Source organism: Homo sapiens, chromosome 4 (assembly GCF_000001405.40).
Source record: "Homo sapiens chromosome 4, GRCh38.p14 Primary Assembly".
Taxonomy (NCBI): Eukaryota; Metazoa; Chordata; class Mammalia; order Primates; family Hominidae; genus Homo; species Homo sapiens.
In genome coordinates, this window is record NC_000004.12 from 55,011,409 (window position 1) to 55,035,688 (window position 24,280).

At 38.5% G+C, this 24,280-nt stretch overlaps 1 long non-coding RNA gene and 1 pseudogene across 1 annotated transcript, besides 1 other annotated feature; both read right to left on the reverse strand.

Moving 5' to 3' along the window:
- Positions 1,119 to 2,318: an enhancer, noted in NCBI's record as "BRD4-independent group 4 enhancer chr4:55878694-55879893 (GRCh37/hg19 assembly coordinates)". NCBI's record gives its function as "activates an origin of replication core promoter dependent on BRD2, P300/CBP, MED14 and CDK7 cofactors, and independent of BRD4, by STARR-seq in HCT116 cells {active_cell/tissue: HCT116}" and the evidence as "EXISTENCE:reporter gene assay evidence [ECO:0000049][PMID:35650434]".
- Positions 1,466 to 23,971, reverse strand: LOC124900703 (uncharacterized). Its single transcript, XR_007058121.1, has 2 exons — positions 23,883 to 23,971; positions 1,466 to 1,753 (listed from the first exon to the last, which is right to left on the reverse strand). It is a non-coding gene; the product is annotated as an uncharacterized LOC124900703 (long non-coding RNA).
- Positions 20,557 to 20,663, reverse strand: RNU6-410P (RNA, U6 small nuclear 410, pseudogene; annotated as a pseudogene).
- Positions 23,972 to 24,280: the final 309 nt, after the last annotated feature.

The following is a 24,280-nucleotide window of genomic DNA, read 5'->3' on the forward strand; positions in this document are numbered from 1 at the left end:
TTCTCCAGCCAAACTGCCTTATCCACTGTTTCCCCAAATAGCCTTGAGCTTCTCTTTCTCCATATTCTTTCTCATTTCTTTCTTTCTTCTGAAATATCCTCCTTTATTTCCTCTATTCCTCCATCCAAGTCCACAATTGTTTTAAAGACATGCTTTCTTCTCCATCTGCTGAAATTTAACCTTCTCTTTCAACTTACATGGCACCTCTTTTATAAAGGCTTCCTTGAATTTATCAGATGAAACACTCCCTATCCTCTTGTAATTTCATGGTATTTTGCTTCTACCTTTATTCCATCTCATTTCACAGTACAGTCATGCAGGAGTCCACAGCAGAGATTCTGGAGCCTAAGTTGAATGACTTTGCACAAGTAATGTGGCCTCTCTGTGCTTCTGTTTCTTTCTCTGTAAAATGAGGTTAATAGCAGTTCCTACCATATAGGATTTTATGATGATTAAGTGTATTAACATGTAAAACACTTAGAACAGCATCTCTCCTCTGAGTGTTTTGATGTTGTTACTGCTGTTAGCAATTCTTCATTTTCAGTCCACTTGACTTTGTTGGGTGAAACATCACAGCTGGATTTCTTCCAGTTGTTTAATACATACACTTTAATCTTATTAAATAATGAGTGTATCATTTCCTTTTTCTCAATTTGGAGGTGCAGGTAAATTAAATCCAATGTAAGGAATTATTGATACTATAGACAATTTTATTGATTTTTTTCTGAATTACACAATGCATAACCACAATGCAAGTGTTACATGGAATTGAACTGAATTCCCGTGTATTGAATTCAACTTAATCACACATGCTGTGAGGAACAGAAAGATGAAGACAAGGCCCTGACCTCATAGAACCACTATCTCTATTCAGCAAGATTAATATATACACAAGTAGCTTTCCAATATCTGCTATATGCTACATATCATATGGTTCTTTTACTTATATCTTAATATTTCAGTTTTTCTCAGTCTTCTAATATCTTTTTATTATTTTGAACCCAGGGTGCATTAGTTCATTTGAAAGAGTTTTTTGTTTTAATGTGGGAACACAAGCCATCAGTTGTAGTCTATTATTGTCTACTTAATGAAATTGTTTTTGAAACCCTGCCCATTCACCTTTAACCTTGAGGCCCATGCATAGTTTCCGTATTTATTAAATGATTAACTCACTTACTAGAGGTATTTATGAGTTCTTGGCTCAGCCTGAGCCTGCCAGTCCTGGTCGAGAGACAGGAATGGTTCCAGAATGACCTCCCCAGTCTTCTGCTGAGACCCATCTCTCATCGCCCCCACGTGTCTCCGTTCCTGATCATCCCTACATGCTTTTCTTCCACATCCACTTCACTCTCTTCTCCAGGAGGTACAATTGCATCTGGTCCTCATTGTGGTGATAATTTCACTTTGCAGTTATTTTTATAAATGTTTAATCAGGTGTGCAGGCAAAAAGATGAAAAGTGAAGGGTGGCTGTTTCTAAATATTTATTCAGAAAACAAATTCAGCAATATTCAATCTGGCCTCTTCCTCAGGGACACTGGCATTGACATCCTCATAGCAGCAGCCTAAGACCCTCAGTCCTTGAAGGTGAGTCCTGGAACTATAGCCTAATACCCATGAAATTGTTTTTTCACGCCTAATAGTGTCCTCACCCTGCGTGCTGGATAAACAGGCGCTGAAGTGGTTTCTATGCCAGGCTTGTTTTCCTTCTGAAACATGATCCTTAAAGTAACTTCAGAAAACAGAAGGTCAACTCTAAAGACAAAAAAAAAAGAATCCATGGTTACATAAAAAAGCCTTTCAGTAAACTAAGATACTATTCACAGAAGTTGTAAAATAATATGTTACTAGTTCATAATTTTAAGTATTTAGAATAAGAGGACTCATGAGGAAAGTGCCTACAAGCATCTAAGGGTAGTACCTTGGGTCATTTTTCTGAAGGTGATTAAGATGAAACAAAGTGTTCTTCATAGTATAACATAGGCCACTTTGAAATATAAAACTGTGAGTATTTAACTCTTAAAAAGGACAAAGAAATGTCAGATGATAACGTGGATGCTAAAGGTTATGGCAATGGTTCGTTTTCCTAGCAAGCCCACAAAGCTGGCCAAGAGAGAATGGCTTTCACTTTGGAAATACCCTCAAGACGTAAGTTTCACCTTCCAGGTATCTTTGGAATGCAAGATCAGGAATTATGAATGAGCTCTCCCAAATACCCTCAGCGTCATTGGACCTAGGCTAACAACGATGAAGATAAGACCCCACATTGTTTAAGAATCTGGCCTGAAGAAGCTGGATGGAAGACTACAGGAAGCACTAAAATTCATCTTGGGTAGTTTGGAAACTACTTTTCCCATTGCAGCTGTAACCACGCTATGACCACAAGAGTTTTGGTGGACAGAGCCCTACCCTTTATCAGGCATGTGAACATCCCAATAAAATTTCTATACCACTTACAAAAGATAAAGGAATTCACATGGTTTCCCAGACCAAGTTCTACTGATAGGATATGCAATTCAGTCAACAATCACAGCAAGTAAATAAAACAGAAATTTGAGATTACAAACCTTAACGAGATGAATGAGGTAGATGAGGCCCTCCTGGGCAGAAAAAGCAGCAGAAGCAACAGTGATCTTCCGCCATGGTGTTCAGAAATACAAAGTTGTGTCAGACAAGATTGAATTATCAGAGGATTTGACTGCAGTTTGCAAGCTTACATAAAAAGGAGGAGAGGACCCATCTGTTCTGTTGAACAATGGTTTTCTGAAACTTCGTCAAATTGAAAGGGTAATCCAGTTAATTAATCAGACTCTATCAGATATCGACTGGAAGCTGAAACCAACGCTCGTTAAAATGAGGGTGAGGTTCTTGTACCTCAATGAAAGTTACTACAACCTTTGCCAGAAGGTGTATGAAAACACTCTTTTTTTAAAAAAAAAAAAAATCACATTACTTTTATTTTAAAATTTTTTTATTTTTAATTTTTGTGGGTACATATTAACTTTTAATTTTTGTGGGTACATATTAATAGTACATATTAGTAACCATTTTAACTGAGGTAAGATGATATCTCATTATAGTTTTGATTTGTATTTCTGGAAGTACTCTTTTGTGGAAAAGAAAACAAATGTCTCTGGGTGAGATGTTAACTCACTACTTTGCTTTTACTTTAAAGCAAAAAAGTACTAAACAATTAAAAGAAAGAAATCGATCTGCACCAAATATTTGTATCATTTCATCTTCTCAACATGTGAGGTTACAAAAAAGGAAACGGAGGCTCAAAGAAGCAAAGTAGTTTAAGGAGCTTTCCATAGCTAGTAAGTTTCTACCCAGCATTTCAGATCAGAATTAAAAGTATCCATAGCCCCAGCTATTTCCACAATATGCTGCCGCCATTTGGGGCAAAGTTCTCTGTGTGGATGAAAGGAGAGAAAGACCAAGGGAATGCTCTGAAGAGGTAAGTAGGAGGCCTTCCTGTCCTGAATAGTAAGATAATGGCTGAAGATTAAATGGGGAAGCTTTTCTGCATGTGGGTGCTAATGAGATCACATTAATATGTCAGCTTTTGCTGGCTCCAAAGCTCAGCAACTAAACTGCAGGAAACCTACTCCCTCCCCATTCAATATTCTCTTTCGTTTAGAATGTCAGGCAGTCCCTAAGTTTCACACTGCACAGCAGATTAATGTCATCCTTTGGTGACACTGCAGCCATCTGGCAGGTTGGCCCAGCTGCTCCTTCACACCTCTCAGGGCTCTCCCTGTAGCGCTGCCACACCCCAGCTATTTGTTCAAAGCTGAGGATTGATTACCTGAGCTGATTTTCTGTTCCTCTCTACTTTGGTTCCCTTCTCTGAGTTCTGGGCCTATATATACAAATGTCTTTCACACTTCTCAACAGAATGTCCCAAAGATATCTCAAATACAATACAACCAATAAATAAATACATTATCTTCTCTAAAAATCTTCTCTTCACGTGAGCTGAGTTTTGATAAATAAACGACACCAGTACTCATAGTGACTCAAATCAAAAACCTGGAGTCACATATCTCTGGCTTCTTCAACCCGACACCAAGTCCTATCAATTCTACATTCCTCTCGACTATGATCTCTCTCCTCTCTATTTCCTGAAGGTCGAATGGGTAAACCAAATGCTCTGGGGTTCTATCCGCATTCCCACTCCCTTTGTCCAAGGCCTTATCATCTTTCTCCTCTTTACTGACTTCCATGTTTCTTACCAGGATCACCTTTCCATAATGCATATTGCACCAAATTACCAGGTTCCCTATGGTACAAAATTCTAATGACCTTGGGTTTGGCATTTATGGCCCTTTAGGATTTGCCCCCTACTCATTTTTCCACCAAAGTTGAATGATTGGCACATTTATACTTTCTTAAATTTACTGACTCCAAAATAGCATGAAGAGATGATGCACACTGGGGCTCAAGATGTAGACAGTGAATAATCGAGTTACGTTATCCAAGAATAATGAAGTTAGATCATAACTTGGATATCTTAAGAAAGAAACATAGGATGGTTTACTATTTGGAATGAACAACAATATGAGGGACAGAGAATACTGAACACCAGCAACTCTCTAAATTATATCTGTGTTCTGTGTTCCAACAAATGAAAGAACATTGTGTTCTGTGTTCCAGCAAATGAAAGAACATTCAAAACAAGCAAGTTTAGAAGGCAAAAAACTTTATTGAGAATGTATGGATTGAATGTACTCCACATAAGAGGCATGGCTAAATGAATGTTCATCAAGGCCTGAGATGTGTGACCCTAAGAAACAAGACTGATGGTTTAATAAAGAACCAACAAAGACCAAGAAAAAAGATGAAAATGCTAACACTGAAAGATAAAACACCGGCTGCAGGATGTGGGAGAAATGTCTACTAACTGTAAAGCATGTGGTTTGAGGTGTTCATCTGCAAGGACGTGTATTGAGAAAACAAAATGGTGGTTGGCCTATGCTTTTCTCATGAAGCAGAGCAACTCCAGCAGCCTGAGAGAAGGCAGAAAGACACATAGATTAATTTATCTTGCTCAGAGATACAGAGTCTGTCTAAGAAGAATTGAATATGTGAGTGCTGTCTTTTGAGATGGACATAGAACTCTTTCTTCCCCTACCCCAACCCAAATTTCTAGATTTATTTGGAGACAACAATCTCCCTAAAACAACATGGTGGGTGTATGTGTGTGTGTAGCAAATGCATTATATAAGGCTGGCTCCTCATAAGTAATAAATAAAATAATAAAGATGTGAGTGGAAAACAAAAGAGTCAATTCTAAGAATTGTGGTCCTTTTAATAATAAGAAGAAGAGGAGTAAGAAAAGAAAACATTTTTACAGAACTTAATGTGCATTTTATGTATTAATTAGTTCTGAGGACAATCCTATATTAGACTAGCATAAACTATGCTGTAGGAAAAAGAAATTTAAAACTCCAAAATCTCAGTAATTAAGTTAGCACAACACAAGTTTATTTCTTGCTCATGCCAAGTTTGATTTAGGCAAGCAGAGACTCTCTTCTACCTGCTAACTCAAGGATTCAGGCTCTCTCCATCTTGTGATCACACAAGTGCTCTGTGGTAGAAGGCAAAGCAGCTCTTAACTGCCTCAGCCTTGCAATGACACATGATACTTCTACCCCCAGTCCACCAGTTAGAACTAGTCAAATGGCCCCAGTCACAGCCAGGGAGGCTGGGAAATGTTGGGAAGCTCATGAATATCTCAATGAGCACTGTCTCCTCCATGTCCCTTGTGAGGAATGTAATAGCATAAGCCCTATGATTTTTACAGATGATGAGAAAGTGGCACAAGGAAAAAATAATGTATCCAGATTCACACTGCTGGTAAGTGGCAGACCTGACCTTTCAACCAAACAATCTGGTTCTAGGATCCATGCTTTTAAAAATTGTATTGTCTTTCAAAAGCAATAGAATTACCAATGACTTTATTAATGATTTATATTAGAGAAACAATCTATGGACGAAGACAGAAAATCCTCCCTTGGAACCCAGAGCTATGTTACATGAGCACCAGCTGGACGCTGGAAATTAGACAACAAAATACACAATCACTTTTCTGTAGACCTGAGAAGGGATTCAACAAGCAGGCTGGTGGTCAACAAGGGCGACCGAGGGAAATCCCTGCATCCTACCTATTGGCAAGCATCTAGTCCAGACATGTCTCTCTTACTGACAGTAAGAGAGTTTAAAAAAAAAAAATCAGCCTGAGACATACAGGGAAAGTACTTGAAAACCCAAGACAAAGGGAATAAGAGATTGCCAAAACAGGAGTCTGTTCTCTACAACAGGGGTGGGTAAACATTCCCGTAAAGGTCCATCTGGGAAATATTTTAGGATTTATGGAACCCTACAGTTTCTATCATGACTACCCATCTCTGCAGAACTGCAAGGGAGCATTTCCATAAATGAAAGGGTATGGCTGAGACCCTGTGAAACTTTATTTACAAAAACAGATTTGGCCCATGGGCTGTAGTTTGCCAGCCCCTGCTCTAAAAAAAGGAAACTGAGAAGAAATGTAAATGATCAGTAAACATTTGAAAAATATTCTATTTAATAGGAATCCAAGAATTTACAAATCTAAACAATGATGTAATTGTTGTCAGCAAACAACTGACAAATATTTTTAAGAGTTTATTGTTAGAAGGTTTCTGGGAGATGACTTTATATATTTCTGATAACAATGTGAATAAGTATAGTTTTTCTTGAATTTAATTTGTGGACATAGGTCAAGATTCTTGAAAGTATTATACACCTAAAATGTTTACTTCCAATATTTAAAAAATAATCAAATAGGAGCTCCAAAACTTTTTTATAAGTATTATCATCCCAGCATTACTTATAAAGTTTTTAAATGAAAAAATAAAACACTAATAATAGAAACATGGTTGAATATAATACAGCATATTATATTCAACCACGTTTCTATTTTTTATTTTTTCTTTTAAAATCTCATTTTGTTTTTTCTTTTAAAATTTCATTTTTGAGAACTATCTAGTGATATGAAAAATAAGATAATGCTAGGTAAAAATAGTACAGAATATTATGTATATATATGCATAATATATTAATATATACTCATATATATGTGCCAATTTCATAACTATGTATTTTAAACTGCATAAGATAAGGACAGAACAGAAATCATAAATAGTAATAATCAGGATGTAGAAATATAGGAGGGTGCATCTTCGTTTTTCTGAGTTATTCACATTTTCTATGAAAACATTTCATAATCAGAAAAAAATGTATACAATGCAAAGTGAAACTCATGAGCTTTTGAGTCAGACCTGATTTGAATTTTAGCTCTGCTGAAATCACCGGTTTGTGATCTTGGGCAAATTATCATATAGCTTTGAACTTCCATTTTCTCATTTAAAAAATACAGATAATAACACCTACTCCACATGATTTTTTTTCAATGATTACATGAGTTAATATATATAAAGCCTCTAGTACATATTATGTTCTCAATAAATATCAGTTAATTACACTTTTAGAAAAGCATATGAATTTGGGATTGCACAGAAAAGGCTGAGAGACCAGGAATCTGGGAGTGGGGGTGGTCATGATAAAAGTTGTAAAAATTGAAGAGAGGGACAGCCAAGAGACTTGTTTGTGTGGGATTAGGGTAAGGGGAGATGGAAGGGAAAGACAAAGGAGACAGAGAAAGAAAGCAGGTGGAGAGGAGAGAGAAACTGACTATTGTTTCAGAGACAGAGGTGCTTTTCCCAGTCTAGATCAGGTGACTGTGAAACAGCTTCAGTCAGGAGTTGAGAGGGAGAACTGAGACTCTGGCAGAGGCACTACGGTTCTTTTTCTGAGTAGGGGCTAAAAGAAAAACCTTCTCCTAGAGGGAAACTGGTAAAGAGGCCCTCAGAGATCAGGGTTGAATGCGAAAGGAGGGGCTCAATGCCACATGGAGCTAAGCAAGTGTTTATGCCCGGTTAATAGTTACCCCTTGAAAGGAAGGTCTAGTACCTCACCCTAGACCTGACCACTGTGGGTTTGTTCCCTGGGATTTCCCACATCGCAGCAAAATCTCTCAACAAAGCACAGGGGATGCGAAAACAAACAAACATTTGGGAGGTGGTGGAAGAGGAAGAGACAAGAAGAAAGGAACACCAAAGAGAAGTAGTGAAAAAAGGATTTCGCTCTAACAGTAGGGTCTTCATGGCAGAAGACTCTTCCTCGTTCCTGTGCAGGTCACTAGGGAATCCTCTGTAGATAACAGAGCCCCTTATATGACACCAGTGGCACCAATCGCAGTTGAGCAAACAGCTTCTCAAATATCCCTTGCTCCTTCTCACCTCCCAGCCCACACCAGCTGTATCCTCACAGCAGGTACAGTTTTCAAATGCATTTTATCTTGTCTCTTCCCCACTCTCCTGCTCCTACCTAAACACAGTACATGCATGCACACACATGTCTGCTCTTTCTGGCTACCTCCTTATATACACCTTTACTTCTCAGCACTCATGTCCCTTTCTCTGACCTCCCAGAAGAGTCACCCACTGCTCTACAGTGACACTGTCTGTACATTTGTCTCTCCCATCCATTCAATTGTGGTGAACTCCTTGAGGACAGAGACCATGTCTCATGGGCCATTGTTGCTTAGGCTCCTAGTGCAGCATCTGGCATATAATCTAGCTGGTCTCTTATGGTCATTTTTTAGCACGCCTCTGTCACCACCATGGCACTCAACATAGCTCTTTTTGGTGCCTTAGGCCCCATCTTCTGACCCACAAGACAAAATGACCTCATAAATCATAGAGTGAGAAGAAAGAGAAGCTGCAGGCAGCAGAGACCTGGTACACAATGAGGAATTGTGGACTCGAGCTGTGGCAACAGAGAGGACCAGGGCTGCAAAACAATTGCATAACTCCAACCTGTCTCACGTTCTTCCAGTTCTCCCCTTGGTTTCACATTTTCTGCAATATTGCAACATGTCTACCAAATACTGGGCCAAGATGAGTATAGGAAATCAGTCTGCCAGTCTCCAACTTGGCTGGTGGTTCTTGCTCTCCATACAATTTTGAACCTAAATCTGCAGCCCATATTTCTTGGCAATAAGTCAGCAAGCTATTCTTGGCAGAACTAAGGATGTGATCTTGTCAATAAGGCAATCAGAACTACTATCTATTGAGCATGTATATAGTAGGTGTTTTACATACATCAGTTTCCTTAGTCCTCACAACAAACCTTTGAGGTGAACAACACTGTCTCAATTTTGCAGTTGAAAAATCAATGGAGTTTGAATAACTTGCCCAATGTCACACAATTAAAAGTGTTACAGTCAGGATTTGAAATAAGTATTTCTATATTATTTAAACTCTACTGCCAAGAACCAGGGATATAAGAAATTTACTAGAGATTGCTCTGAAAGCCAAATGCTTAGTTAGGAAACCTGACCTCAAATTAGATGTTCACTTATGATAGTAAGTGACTTATCTAAAAGACCATGGATCTAGTTGTACTGTTGATAACTTTGCACCCTTTCAGAGACTTGGGTTGTAGTGGTAGCATCATAGACCTCAAAAGCATGTTGGAAGTTGACCCCAATTAACACCACTGGGCATACTCAGTTTAGCTGTAATATCATGTAACTGCTACAACATCCTTAAGACCCCAGGTTCTGTTTTCCAGGGTGACTGATGACAGTTTTGTTTTCAGAACAAACAAGTAGAGTGGGATAAGGATTCCCAGTGGATATTTAGTCTCTAGAGATGTCTATGACCCACATTTTAAGCCCTAGAAAGAAATACAGTCCACTTGCCGAAAGGTCTTCCCATGATGTTGGTTCAGAAAAAGATAAACCCAATTAGGTATAACCAACAAAGTGAGGAGGGCTGCCAAGCAGAGGAAAATTCCACACCATTAAAAAGGCAGTAAGACAAATCTACTTTTCTATGGGTTTAAGAGGGCCTGGGGTGACTGGATTAACTCTGACATCTGTGCTCAGATTCAAACCTTTGGTGGAAGAAAAGCTTATAGCTTAATTTTGCAAGACCCAGCATGAAACCTTTGTTGGCCAGTAGGGAGATGGGGTCTGAGAAAATTGGATTAGAGCTCCTGAAATAAGGACTTGAGCAATGGAGAGGAAAGTGCAATTATAAGCAACTGTACCAGACAAGACTTTTTCCTGTGTGATGTTTCAATCCCAGAAAAGATCACAAGCTGTATAACCAAATCTTTACTGGTCTGGATTTCAACTGGATTCATAGTAACATATGCTGGCCTTGTGATTAAAATGTTCTTAATCAAAATATTTTGAACATACATATTTATAAAACTAACAGAACCCTGCAAGTTTTAAGTTATCAGTCCTTTTCCAAAAAAACAAAATGTTGATTTCCCGGTGCTGAATTTTTTTTAATAAAATAAAATAAAAATGAACATGTATATTTGGGGGAAAAAAGACATGGAGACTATAATTAAGAGATGTACCATCTAGCTTATCAGAGTATAAGAAAGAGGTAGTAGAGAAAATGTAGAAGAAGGCAATATTCAAAGAGATGGTGAATAAGAATTTTCCCAAATGTATGAGGCAGAAATCCTCAGACACAGAAAACCAAGTAAAGCAAAATAAATAAAAAGAGATTCGAGGCTAGATACTAGATACATTGTAAGATACTGCAGAATATCAAAACAAGGAAAGAAAGAGGGAGGGAAAGAAGAAGGGAGGAAAAGAGAAGCGAATATAATTTTTTTAATGGAAAAAAGAAAGAAAATCATAAAAGCAGCCAGAGAACAAGTCAGATTACTGATATAGGTACAAATTTGATTGACATCTAATTGCTCAATAGAGAAAGTAGGGCCTATTCTCAATAGTCACAAAAAATCAGAAAATAATGGATTTTTTTTAAGCAGAGAGGAAAAAACCATCAACCTAGAATGATATTACTACAGAAATGATCTTTGAAGAACAATAGCAAAATAAAAATATTTTTAGAAAATAAAAATTGAGAGATTCTTTTTAAAGGAATGTCTAAAAGATTTACTCCAGAAAGAAGGAAAATGAGCCCCCAGGGAAGCCTGAGATGTAAGAAGAAATAGTGAGCAAACAAAATGTTAAATGAGTGGATTAATCTAAAGCAACTCTGTAATTTGAGGGCTTAAAGACTACAAGAACTTGGCTCACGCCTGTAATCCCAGCACTTTGGGAGGCCGAGGCGGGCGGATCACGAGGTCAGGAGATCGAGACCATCCCGGCTAAAACGGTGAAACCCCGTCTCTACTAAAAATACAAAAAATTAGCCGGGCGTGGTGGCGGGCGCCTGTAGTCCCAGCTACTAGGGAGGCTGAGGCAGGAGAATGGCGTGAACCTGGGAGGCGGAGCTTGCAGTGAGCCGAGATCCCGCCACTGCACTCCAGCCTGGGCGACAGAGCGAGACTCCGTCTCAAAAAAAAAAAAAAAGACTACAAGAACTAAAATACTGGATAATAATAGCAGTTACTCATAAGTTGGGATGGAGTGAACAGAATTAAGGGTGTCTTACGTTGTTTATATTATTTGGGAAAAGAATAAGTGAATGAATCAACTTTAGCCTTTGCTAAATTAAAATACATTCTAAATTTATAGGGAATCATTTAAACAATAAAAATAAAGATATAATTTGCAATTAATTGAGGAGAAAAATGAAATGGGAAAACAAACGCAATGCAAAAGAAAGTATTTAAGAAGAAGAAAGGACATATGAAATATAAATAGAAATAAAGATAAATAGAAAACACAACATAAAAAGTAAAATAAATCTAAATATAGCTGTAATCACAATAAATGTAAATGCATAAATGCGCCAGTTAAAAGCCAAAGACTGTCAGACTAGATTTCAAAAAACATTCACCAGTATGTTACTTACAAGACTGCCAATTAAAAACTAGGGACATAAATAGACTGAGACTAAAAGGATGAATATTATCATGCAAATACTAAATAAAATCTAAATTGACATCAGACAAAATCAACTTAAAGGAGCAAAACATTGTTTAAGGCAATAAATCACTACATAGTTTTTTAAAAGTTAAAGTTGCTAATAAGATGTAACAAATACAAAATTGATACATCCTTCATTATCGTAAGAGATTTTAATATATCTCCATTGGTAACTGAGTGATCAGGTAGGCAAAGTAACCAGTAAGAATATGAACTTGACTAATATAATTAATTAACAGGTTTGATATAATGATGATATATGAAAGAATGTATCTAAAATTTGGTAAATTGGCATTTTTTTCAAACTTACACAGAACACATATGAAAATTGAATATGTGTAAGGCCATTAAATAAATCTCAAAGAATTTCAAGAAATCAGAATTTACACAAAAGTTATCTGACTAAAATGCAATTATATCAGAAATCAATAATGAAACAACCAAACTCTTTTTTAAAAAAATTAAGCACATGCTTCTGAATAACTCCAGTCAAAGAATAAATCACTTAACAATCGTTTTTAATTTTTAGCATGAAAAGAGAATAAAAACATATGTGATACAGCAAAACCAAAGCTTAGGGCAAAATCTGGGGGAAAATGCTTTTCTAAAAAATAAAGACTAACAAGTTAGCAAGCTAAATATATAACTTAAGAAGTTAGTAACAAAATATGTATAAAGTAGAAAAATGATAAATATAAAAGCTAAAGTAGAAAAAGTAGTAAATATAAAAGCTAAAGCTAATGAAATGGTAAACAGATTAACTAGAGAATATCATTAAAGCAAATGTGAGTTCTTTGAAAAAACTAATAAATTAACAAACCTCTGAAGATATTATGAAGAAATGAAAAGGAAAAAATAAACACTATTTGAAATAATTAATCAAACATAATTACCAATGCAGAAGAGTGACAGGATAACAAGTGAACATTAGTAACAAGTAAATTAGAAAACTAAGATATATAAACACATCTCAGGGAAAAAATGAGAAAACTAATTCAGGAAGACAGAAAATCTGAATAATCCTACATTTATTAAAGAAATAAAATCAATAATTTTTAATATTTTTGCAAAGTGAAACTAATTCTTGAACATTTTACCAGTGAGTTGTACCAAACACTCAGAGAACAGATACCGGTTGAGTATCCCTTATTTAAAATGTTTGGTGGCCGGGTGCAGTGGCTCACACCTGTAATCCCAGCACTTTGGGAGGCAGAGGTGGTCGGATCACCTGAGGTCAGAAGTTCGAGATCAGCCTGGCCAACATGGTGAAACTCCATCTCTACTAAAAAAATATATATATATTAGCCAGGTGTGGTGGCGCATGCTTGTAATCCCAGCTACTCAGGAAGCTGAGGCAAGAGAATCACTTGAACCCAGGAGGCAGAGATTGCAGTGAGCCAAGATCACACCACTGCACTCCAGTCTGGGCAACAGAGTGAGACTCTGTCTCAAAATAAATAAATAAATAAAATTTTTTTAAAAATACAATGTTTGGGACCAGAAATGTTTCAAATTTTGATTTTTTTGAGGTGGGGGTGGGGGGAGTTTCAGAATATTTGCATTATACCAGTTGAGCATCCCAAATCTGAAAATCCTTAATCTGAAATGCTCCAATGAGCATTCCCTTTGAACATCATGTCAACACTCAAAAAGTTTGGATTTGGAGATTCTCAGATTTTGGATTTTGGATACTAGGGCAATCCCTCACTATCCAGCATCATATTAGGGATGCTAAACTTGTGATTCTAATCTTACACAACTTTTTCAGGAACAAAAAAAAGGAAAAGAAAAAACCCACCCACCTCATTTCATGAGGTTTCATGAGGCTAGTATAACCTTCAAACCAAAAACAGTCAGGAAATAAATCTTGAATATTAAAAGTAGGAAAGCAGAAATGAAAATTTAATAAAATGTCTGAAAAATAAAATTAAAAATTTTCTAAAAACATAAAGGTATAAAATATGGAAGATAACGTAAGAAAAGATAAGCGAATGTAAAAAGTAGAGGTTCTTCTTCAAAGACTTTCCTCCCCATTTAATTAGAAATAAATAATAACTTCTCTTAGAAGCAAAATGTGTTCAAAGACCTGTGCTAACTTTCCTAAATATCTGCTAGCTGTAATAAAGAAATCAAAGTACTTTATGTTCTTAGCTCCCACAATTTAGCCTAAATATTTGCCCTGGCATGCTTATACTGGTCCAAGCAAGCATTAGGTCACAGCCTGTTCCTTTTCCTTATTTAAAGGTGTTTCTGCCTTTCTCAGCATTCCACAAGTTGCGTCCTCCTTCCTTTGTTCTCCTCTACCTTTGCCTCTTTTAAAAAGTTCTAAGTTGCTAGCCAATCGAGACAAATACAGAATGTGAGGTTCCGTTCCAGCCAATGGAAAATGGACACAGCAGTAGGGTGAACGTGTCAGGTTATAAATGACCCTCTCTCCTTTGTTCAGTGTTATACTCTCGAGGCAAAACTGCTGGCGAGTGTACCCTTTCTGCAGGAAATAAAAATGGTCTTGCTGAATAAATTAAATTTATGTTCAAGTGCTATTTTGTCACGACACCAGGGAACAAGCATTTCAAACAGAGAACCAAAGAGAATATAAAAGTTATTACTAGAGAATTGAAAGAAACAGTCCACTATATCCTACAGATAGAAGTTCCAAAACAGCAAACACCAAGAATGGTGGGGAAGATATTATGAAAGAAATAAAACAAGGAAATTTCCCAGAACCACAGAAACAAGTTTCCAGATTGAAAAAGCCCACTGAGTATTCATTATGATAAATGAAGACCCCACCACATTGCATTATTGCAAACCTCAAAACACCAAGTTATGCTTAATGGTATATCCCGGGCTTTTTGTGAAGTATGTCATTTTAATATACAGGATCAGGAATTATAATGACATGGGATTCCTCACAGAGACCCAGCTTCTGTTGATCCTTTCCTTGTAGTAAGATGGTTTAAAGAAACAAACAAAACAAGTAAGATGTAGCTATTTTAATCTCTCGTTGGAGAAAAGTATGTTCATTGCAGCACTATTCACAATAACAAAGGCATGGAATCAACCTAAATTCCCATCAGTGATAGAATGGATAAAGAAATGTGGTGCATATACACCATGGAATACCATGCAGCCGTAAACAGTATGAAATCATGTCCTTTGCAGGGACATGGATGGAGCAGAAGGCTGTTATCCTCAGCAAACTTAATGCAGGAACAGAAGCCCAAATATCGCATGATCTCACTTACAAATGGGAACTGAATGATGAGAACACATGGACACATGATGGGATACAGCACACACTGGGGCCTGTGGGAGGGTGGCGGGGGAGGAGTATCAGGAGGGAGAGTATCAGGAAAAATAGCTAATGGATGCTGGGCTTAATATCGGGGTGATGGGAAGATCTGTGGAGCAAACCATCACGGCACAGATTTACCTATGTAACAAACCTGCACATCCTGCACATGTACCCCCTGAACATTAAAAAAATGAAATTAGAAAAAGGAAAAATAAAAGCATTCTATGATCTATAAGGCTATATGTTACAGTAAATTTTTGAAATCATAAACTACATGCAATAAAAACATTAAAAATATTTAAAAACATAGAAATGACATAAATGTTGAATTTATCTGGCAAAGATTTTAAAGCAGCTATCATAAAAATATTTTAATGCGTAATTACAAACATACTTAAAATAAATGAAAAAACAGAAAGTCTCAGCAAAGAAATAAAAGATATAACAAAGAACCAAATTGAAATCTGAACTAAAAACCACAATAACTGAAATAAAATATTCATTGGATGGGCTCAACAACACAATAGAGAGGAGAGAGGGAAGAATCAATGAACATGAAAGTAGAACAATAGAAATCACCCAATCTAAAGAACAAAAAGAAAATAAACTGAAAACATAAAATGACATACTTAAGACCTAACATATTAATTACATCATCATAAATGATCTGAATGCACCAATTAAAAGGCAGAGGTTGGCAGAATGGTTTTTTTTTTTTTTTAATGACCCAACTCAATGCTCAAGGGCATTTTTGTCAGTGAAAAAAGCCAACCTCAAAAAGTTATATACCAGCCAGGTGCAGTGTCTCATACCTGTAATCCCAATGCTTTGGGAGGCTGACGTAGGAAGATTACTTCAGGCCAGGAGTTCAAGAACAGCCTGAGCAACATAGTGAGATTCCCATCTCTACAAATTTAAAAAAAAAAAATAGCTGGGTGTGGTGGCATGTGCATGTATATAGTCCCAGCTAGAGGCTGAGGTGAGAGGATCACCTAAGCCCAGGAGGTCAAGGCTGCAGTGAGCCATGATCATGCACTGGGTGCATGCCTGGGTGATAGAATGTGACCCTGTATCAAAAAAAATTAAAAAGTCATATACCATGTAATTCCATTTGCATTACATTGTCAAAATGACAAAATTACGAAAGTGGAAAGCAGAGTAGTGGCTGCCAGGGGCTAGGGATGATGCGGGAGGGGGCTGGGTATGATTACAAAGGGGTAGCCTAAGGGAGATATTTGTGGTGATGGAACAGCTCTGTGTCTTGACTTCAGTGATGGTTATGTGAATCTACATACATGATGAAACAGTATGAACTATGCACAGGCATTGTACCAATGGTAGATTCCTGGTTTTAATATTGCTTTACAGTTGTATAAGCTATAATCATTGAGAGAAATTGAGTGAAACGTAAATGGAAACTCTCTGTATTATTTTTATAACTTTCTGTGAATTTATAATTATTTCAAAATTAAAAGATTTTTAAAAACTTATAAAGCATATCTTTTTCCAAGTCTTAGGCATACAGAGATGAATAAAACAAGAGTTCCTGCCTTCAGAGTCCTGCCATCTGGTTAACTATATAATCCTTTTGGGAAGATGGGTAAAACCCAAAGATACAAAAGATAGAAATAGCCTTTTTTTTTTTTTTGAGACGGAGTCTCATTCTTTCGCCCAGGCTGGAGGGCAGTGGCGCGATGTCGGCTCACTCTGCTCACTGCAAGCTCCGCCTCCCGGGCTCACGCCCTTCTCCTGCCTCAGCCTCCTGAGTAGCTGGAACTACAGAGAAATAGCCATTTTAAAAGGGGTTGTAGCTGTATGAGTGGTGCTAGGATTATAAAGTCTAAAGATGCCAAGACTCCAAGCACTGGGTCTCTTAATAACAATTTAAAATTCAAAGTGTTTGCTGGGCTTAGTTGCTCACGCCTGTATTCCCAGTACTTTGGAAGGCTGAGGCAGGAGGATCGCTTGAGGCCAGGAGTTAGAGAATAATTTATTATGAAACAGTCTGTGCCTACACCAGAATATGTGCAAAAGTATGAACACACTCTGACCCGCCAGCCGACTAAAGAATCCCCAAATTAACCACACAATTGAAGCTAACCCAACTCCCATCCTCCTCCCCTCAGACATAACTGTCACCGTGAATTTTGTGTTTACCATACCCTTGCTTTTAAAAATTAGTTGACTATATACTCTGGTTTCTCTTCAGATCGTATAAATCTTTCGCCTTTTACTAAAAATTAGTTGACTACAATGTAAGTATTCCCTGACAGCGTTTGTTTAGCTTTGCTTGTGTGTTTGTTAATACACTGTTTTTCTTTTTCCTGTTTTTTTTTTTTTTTTTTGGAGATGGAGTCTTGCTCTGTCGCCCAGGCTCAAGTGCAGTGGTGCGATCTTGGCTCACTGCAACCTCCACCTCCCAGGTTCAAGCGATTCTCTTGCCTCAGCCTCCTGAGTAGCTGGGAGTACAGGCGCGCACCATGACCATGACGCCCAGCTAATTTTTGTAGCTAATACACTCCCATTAACAGTCTTATACATATCTCCTGGTGTACATGTGCAAGAGTTTCTCTAGGGTACATACCTAGGAGTGAAATTGCTGGGTCATAGGAATGTCATCTTTACCTGTGATTGATAATGCCGAATTGTTTTCCAAAGAAAATGTACTAATTTACAGTCTCAACAGCAGTACATAAGATTCTGTTTTTCCACATCCTCATTAATACTTAATATTGTCAGACTTCATAAGTTTTTGTACATCTAGTGGGTATAAAATGATATTATAATTCTAATTTGCAAATCTGCACTTCTCTGATTACTAATGGAGTTGAGGGACTTTAAATATGCTGAATAGTCATTTATATTTCTTTTGTGAATTACCTAATCATGTTTTGGGCGCATCTTTCAATGGGTTATAGTCATTCTTTATATATTCCAGGTCCTAATCCCTTCTTTGTCAGTTAGATGTAGTGTAAAGGTTTTCTTCCACTTTGAGGCTGACCATTTTACTCTCCTTGTGGTATTTTTGGTAAACAGAAGTCCTTTATTTTAATGAAGTGAAATGTATTAATCTCTTCCTTTTGCTTTGTGCTTTTTGTGTCTCTTAATTCCACAGAGAAGGAAAAATTTTACTTTAGAAAAAATATAGGGGAATATCTTTATGACCTCTGGAGAGGGAAGGATTTCTCAAACAAGATCCCAAAAGTGCTAATCATAAACCGTTGCTATTTAACAACCACTTCTAGGGATTGTAAGGATGAATCAGGAGGATACGCTGAGCTCTGGCCACCTTTGTTTTCATTATTTCCTTGGAGAAGTAGGTTCCCCTGTGTTGCTGTTGAATGGGGGTGGGCTCACAACAAAAGACTGTTAGCACAGCCAAGGCAACTGCCCATGCCCTAGTTGCATCCATCCGGCCTGCGTGGCTACCACCTTTTCAGGAGAGAGGCAGGGGGACCCACCACAGTTTGTTCACCTTTAGTTCTTCTTTGTTACTAGCTTTGATGGGGGTCTGTTTCCGCTAATCTTAACTGTGGCAAAAATGCTCCAGGATGTCTATTCTTCTAGTTATATATGGAATTTCCTGGACTTCATTTGATTGCTTGGGATGGGGGCTGAGTAGATGCAGCTATTTCCAGGCATCCTTGCCTTTTCTTTCCTGAAAAACCATTGTGTTAGCAACACAGTTCTAGGTGGGGCAACACTATTCACATACATTTTGTTTTTTACTATATAATCTCAAACCAAGTTTTCTTTTTAGAAATATGCATATACACTTGCAGCTAATGCTACTTTCAACAATCCTCTGTGTAATACTATTTGTATGTTTCTTTTAATCGTTTTTACCATTTTAAGGCTCATTTTTTTCCTGTGCAATTTCAGGAGGCTTCTTCCCCCTCCCCCATCACCCCCTCCCCCTTTTCCCATATATCTGTATATGGGTCATTATCCTCTTCTCCATCAACATCTTCTCAGCATAACTGAATGCCCTAGGGAGATTGGGCTGGTGAGGCTCTGCCATGATTAATGGATTTCTTTTCACTCTTCAGTAATTGGCTGGCTTCCACTAAGGGCAGCTAATGTCTCTGTAGCTAGTTGGATTAAGTAGATTAGGTTACCAGTATTGCTGCTTATCTCATTCTAGAATCAATGATCCAATTCACACGTTCACCACCTATAAATCTGGGGAAACTATTACACAGAAGCCCTAGTAATTGATTAGTGGGTATTTCCTGAAATGAATCATTTATAAGGTGATGCCTTGGTTCCCAGCCTATTTCTGAGGCAATTAGGACCTACTGAGTTGCTTATTTGTTTACACTTTGATGACATCCATTTATTTCTGGTCTAAAGTCTGAATCTCACACCCAGTTTCTTAATGTTCTGGCCACCAGCTCTTTCTCATTTCTTTCTTTGTGCTTCTTTCTGAAACCTTTTCAGCCAGATGCCCAGTTTATGACACAGCTGATCTCCAGTATCTATCTGTCTGTTGATTTTGATAGCGCCGAAATAGGGTCATTTTGATTCTTGGAGCAAACTGTAGCCAGGACCCACCTCCTTTTGCCTTTGCCGTCTCAGTGCTCACTGGCCATGCCAGAGGAAAAGCCTGGAGGGGATGTGTAGGTAGAGGACACTTGCAGAGTGCTCTGACTCTCCTCCCAAGACCTGTATGTCAACAGAGCCTGCCAACAGAGAACAGCTGTTCTTCAACATGAGAGTCTGCTTCAGGCCGGAATCCTTTTTTACAATTTATGACTTCATATATGCCAGGCACTAAATTACAGACTGTACCTTAAAATCTGGGTGTGGTGGGAAGTCAGGTAATAATTGCTACCACACACCGAGCACTTCTATGAGCAAGGTGGTTTGTGCTAAGAGTTTCTCCTACAGCATTTCATTTAACTTATAGCCATCATGTGTCCTGGGTGTTATCATCTCATGCAAGAAACCTAAAGCTGATGGAGGTTATGTACATTTTCTGGGTCATTCAATTAATAAGTGAAGAAATTCAATCAAGCATTGACTTAGCTAATTCAAAATGGTACTTTTAACCAGTACAACATCCTGCCTCCCTCTTGAAAACATAAATGATTGGTCAGAATTACATGGCATTAGCTAAAAGGAGGTCACAGAAAGGCTGGTCACAGAAAGGTTACATGTAGGCTGCATAGCCCTGGGCTATAGAGTAGAAGGAAATGGGTCCTAGGAAGCATATAATCCCATGGTTCTCAAACTTTTTTTTCTTATTGTGGTTAAGAAAAACATGACATAAAACAAAAGATGGGATGCTTCAAAAGTTTGTGAAGATACAGCAAGATAGCTGTGCATCTTTGCACAGGGGCCATGGAATCTTCTCTGTATTGTTGCAGTTTTAGGATATACGCTGCCAAAATGAGCACTCCCAAATTTTTTAACTTGCAACTCACAACGTGAAACACATTTTACATCATGACTCCATACACACATCCATCTATAACTGAAACGAAATTCTACTTTGTAATCCTTGCACTTCTTCCATGTAGTACACTACATTTTTCTATTACATTTTCTATTTAAAAAAAAAAAATCTGGCCATAGCCTATTAAGTGGACTTTACAACTTGCAAATACTGATCTCTAAACATCAACGGATGGAAAATGGAGGCTCCAGGATATGTTGGATACCTGGCGCAGTGCCTGGCAAATAACAATCCTGAGTGTCTTTGCCTTATCTCCCTGTGTGATGCAGCAAGCCTGTGTAGTACCTCACCGGCAGAGCTGGGATGGAATCCAGGTTTGCCAATTCCCAATTTAGGGTTTCTCAGTCAAGGAAAGTTTGTCAAAGAGGAGGGATTCTCTCGTGGAAGAGTTTCTTCACAGGGGTGGGCAGAAGTGGGAAGAAACAATGAAGTCGTGGAAGACTCACACTGCCCACCATGGACCTTGCCCGAGGGCACAGGATACTACAACAGGACTGTCTAATTCCAAAGCCCACACTCTTTTTGTGGTTGTCTACCCTGGTTGCTCTGTAAAACCACCTAGGAACTCATCAACAATACCAATGCCTGGGCTACACTCATCAATTTAATTGGATTGTTTAGAGGTGGAGTGTTTTCTAAGGATCCCCAGCCAATTTTAAAGCAGAGCTACCATCTCAGTGCAGTGCAGAAGACACCTCATAAAACTGTTCTCACCAACCTTTCAAGCCTCAGCTGCAAGGCTGCCCTCTGGACCCCAGGGAGTCCTGACTTAAAGCGACAGTCAAAAGTAACTGCCCTTTCCTTGTATCCCTCCAGCCTTCACAGGTCCCTTTATCTGGTGCTTATCTCTCCTGCTACATGATGCAGGGCTTATGCCTTACTCACTGTTGTATCCAAGTGTGGAATAAATATTTACAGTATGCCCTTTGCTCAGATGGCTCTTCTTTTCCAAGCCATTCAGGCTTTTCAACTTTCCTGTGATTTAGCTGTAACTCCTAAAGAGGGTGATTCAATTCTCCCTATTGAAGTACTACCTCAGGTAGCTTTTTTTTTTTTAAATTCTCCCCAGGATCAGTTCCACAGAGGACAAAAGGAACTCTCATTTCACAGTTGCAAAATCTTGACCAGTGAGGACCAGTCACTGAAGGCAGTGAGGCTACAGTGTCCCTTCCCACATGGCTGGGCTTTCTCTCCCAGTCTCTCCCCTCCAGTCGTCTCCCCTAGGTTTTCAAATCCTCCAGGGTTTCTGACAAGGCAGTGTTCTCCGGGGTGCAGCGCCCTGGACAGGAAGTAAGGAAGAAGGACTCCCTGTCCAGTTCGTGACCATCAGTGTGTCACACCTTGAGGCCTCACTTTTCCGTTTTGTTAGCTGGGAACGAAAACATTCCTAACTCAATTGTCACCCTCCGCTCCTTTCCCCCTCGGGGATTATATAAGAACCCTTATACATGAAAACAAGCTTTGTTCAGGTCCTTGAGCTTTTCTGAGGACAGCTTTGTATAAATATAAGATACCTTTTGTTATTGTGTGTGGCCCAAGGGATTTCCAAAAAGAAGCTGGGAGCCAGCAATGCTCATTTTTATAGGCAGAAAATAGCTGTTGGGAAAACAACCTGATGTGTGGAGCACAATGTTCTTATCGAGTAGACAGAATTATCTTTCCCAGGCAGCCATGAAGATGAAACACCTGGTGCACACGTTTCCTGCCCCTTCACATATTTTGAAAGAAAGAGACCTTTACCCTGACCTGTCAAGCAATGATCTTCATGAACTTCTGTCCACAGACTCTGACTGTTATCTTGGCTTGCTTCTGTGGATTTAAATGGTAAACATAGCTGATCCTCACTCATAGGGCATCTTCTTCTCCAGATATCACGCAGACCTTATCTGATCCACACATGCATTTCTTCTTCCTTAAAATGCAGTCACTGGACAGGGCTCACCTCACTGATGTCAGGGGCTAAGGGCCAGGGGTTTCCTGCTTTCAGCCCAACACAGTGTTGGGTGCTGGTGAGGAGATCAGGACCTTGAAGCCTTGACCCTGACCCGGCAATGACTGAAAAATCTTTTGGGAAAGAAAACAAAATAAAGCCACTGAAAACATTTAGAGAACTAAACAAACCTGTAATAAAATTTACTGTCTACCTTGAAGGCTTGAAAGTGTTTAAAGAAGGTAGAAATCAGTGTAGGAAAGTTCCATACAAAAGCACCAATACATGTAGAAGGTTCTCAATAATATTAGTTAAGTCAATGAAGGAAACCTGAAGTGAATGAAAAGCATTTGAAATGGTGGAGGAAGGAGCCAACAGCTGCAGAAGCCATGGAGCACAGTAGTTTAAGTGTTGATTGTAAAACAAGACAGATTGGCCTGAGTGTGCCACTCACCAACTGTGTGATTCTGAGCAAGCTGTGTCACCTCTCCAAGCTTAACTTTCCTCTTTCATAATAAATAACTAACAACAATAACTCTATCATAGGCTCAGGGGAAGAATTGTGTGACATAAATACAGGCAAAGCTCTTAGCACAATGCCAAGCATGGAGTAACTGTTCAAACAATGTTGAATATTGTTGTTGTTTATATTATTATTAGGGAAAACATGAACAAAGGCAGGAATTACTTAGTCTGTGCATGGGAAAATCTATTTTCCCTACAATAATAAAATAATCAAAATACTTGGTACTATTATTTAAAATCCCATCTCCCAGGCTAGATGAGATGCTATAAGCCATGATGGCATGGGTCATTAGGGCTCTTAGGAACTGTTGCATGGTACATAACATGGAATTTGAGCAGAAAGAGCCTGCCCACTGCAATATTGTGAAGGAAAGAAGATGTATATTAATGACCTCCTTCCAGCTCTGATTTCTCGCCTCTTGCCTTCTTTCCACACTCTTCCCCATTCCCACTACTTCCGTTTCCCCATCGTGCCTCAGTGACCTCACATTGTCTCTTCTCAACCCTCCCCTCCCCACTCCCTTCTCACCCTTCCACCCAAATTTAAAATCTCATCTCCCAGGCTGGATTGAAAGCCTGGTGAGTCAGGGGAAATGGGACTGACATGGTGGCCTCTCAGGCAATGTTGATAGCATATGGGGTCAGGGGCAGAGATTACCTTGGTTGTGTCTTGATCTATCAAGTCATATATGGGTAGCTGCTCACCTCTTACACATGGAGCACTCAGCAGGAAAACTTCCAGTTCCCTTACAAATCAAATTTTCAAGTGAGAACTTAAGGAATTCTTCATTTTCCTAATAAAAGAAACACAAATGCCATAAGTAAGCCATGATATCACAGGTCATTAGGGCTGTTACATACTGTTGCACAGTTGGTGCACTGCACATAAAGGCCTGATGTAGGCATCTGCTTGTCAAGCTGTGCACTGATGGGGCTATGGGCATCCACCCTGCTTCCTTCCCAATTTGTCCTATGGATGACAGTCATGATCCTACTGAAATGGTCTTGACCACATTTTTAGTTTCATAAGGCTATCTTGGCTCCAAGTTACCTACAGGATAAAACCCCAATTTTCTAGCCTGGCAGAGAAAGCTTTTCACATC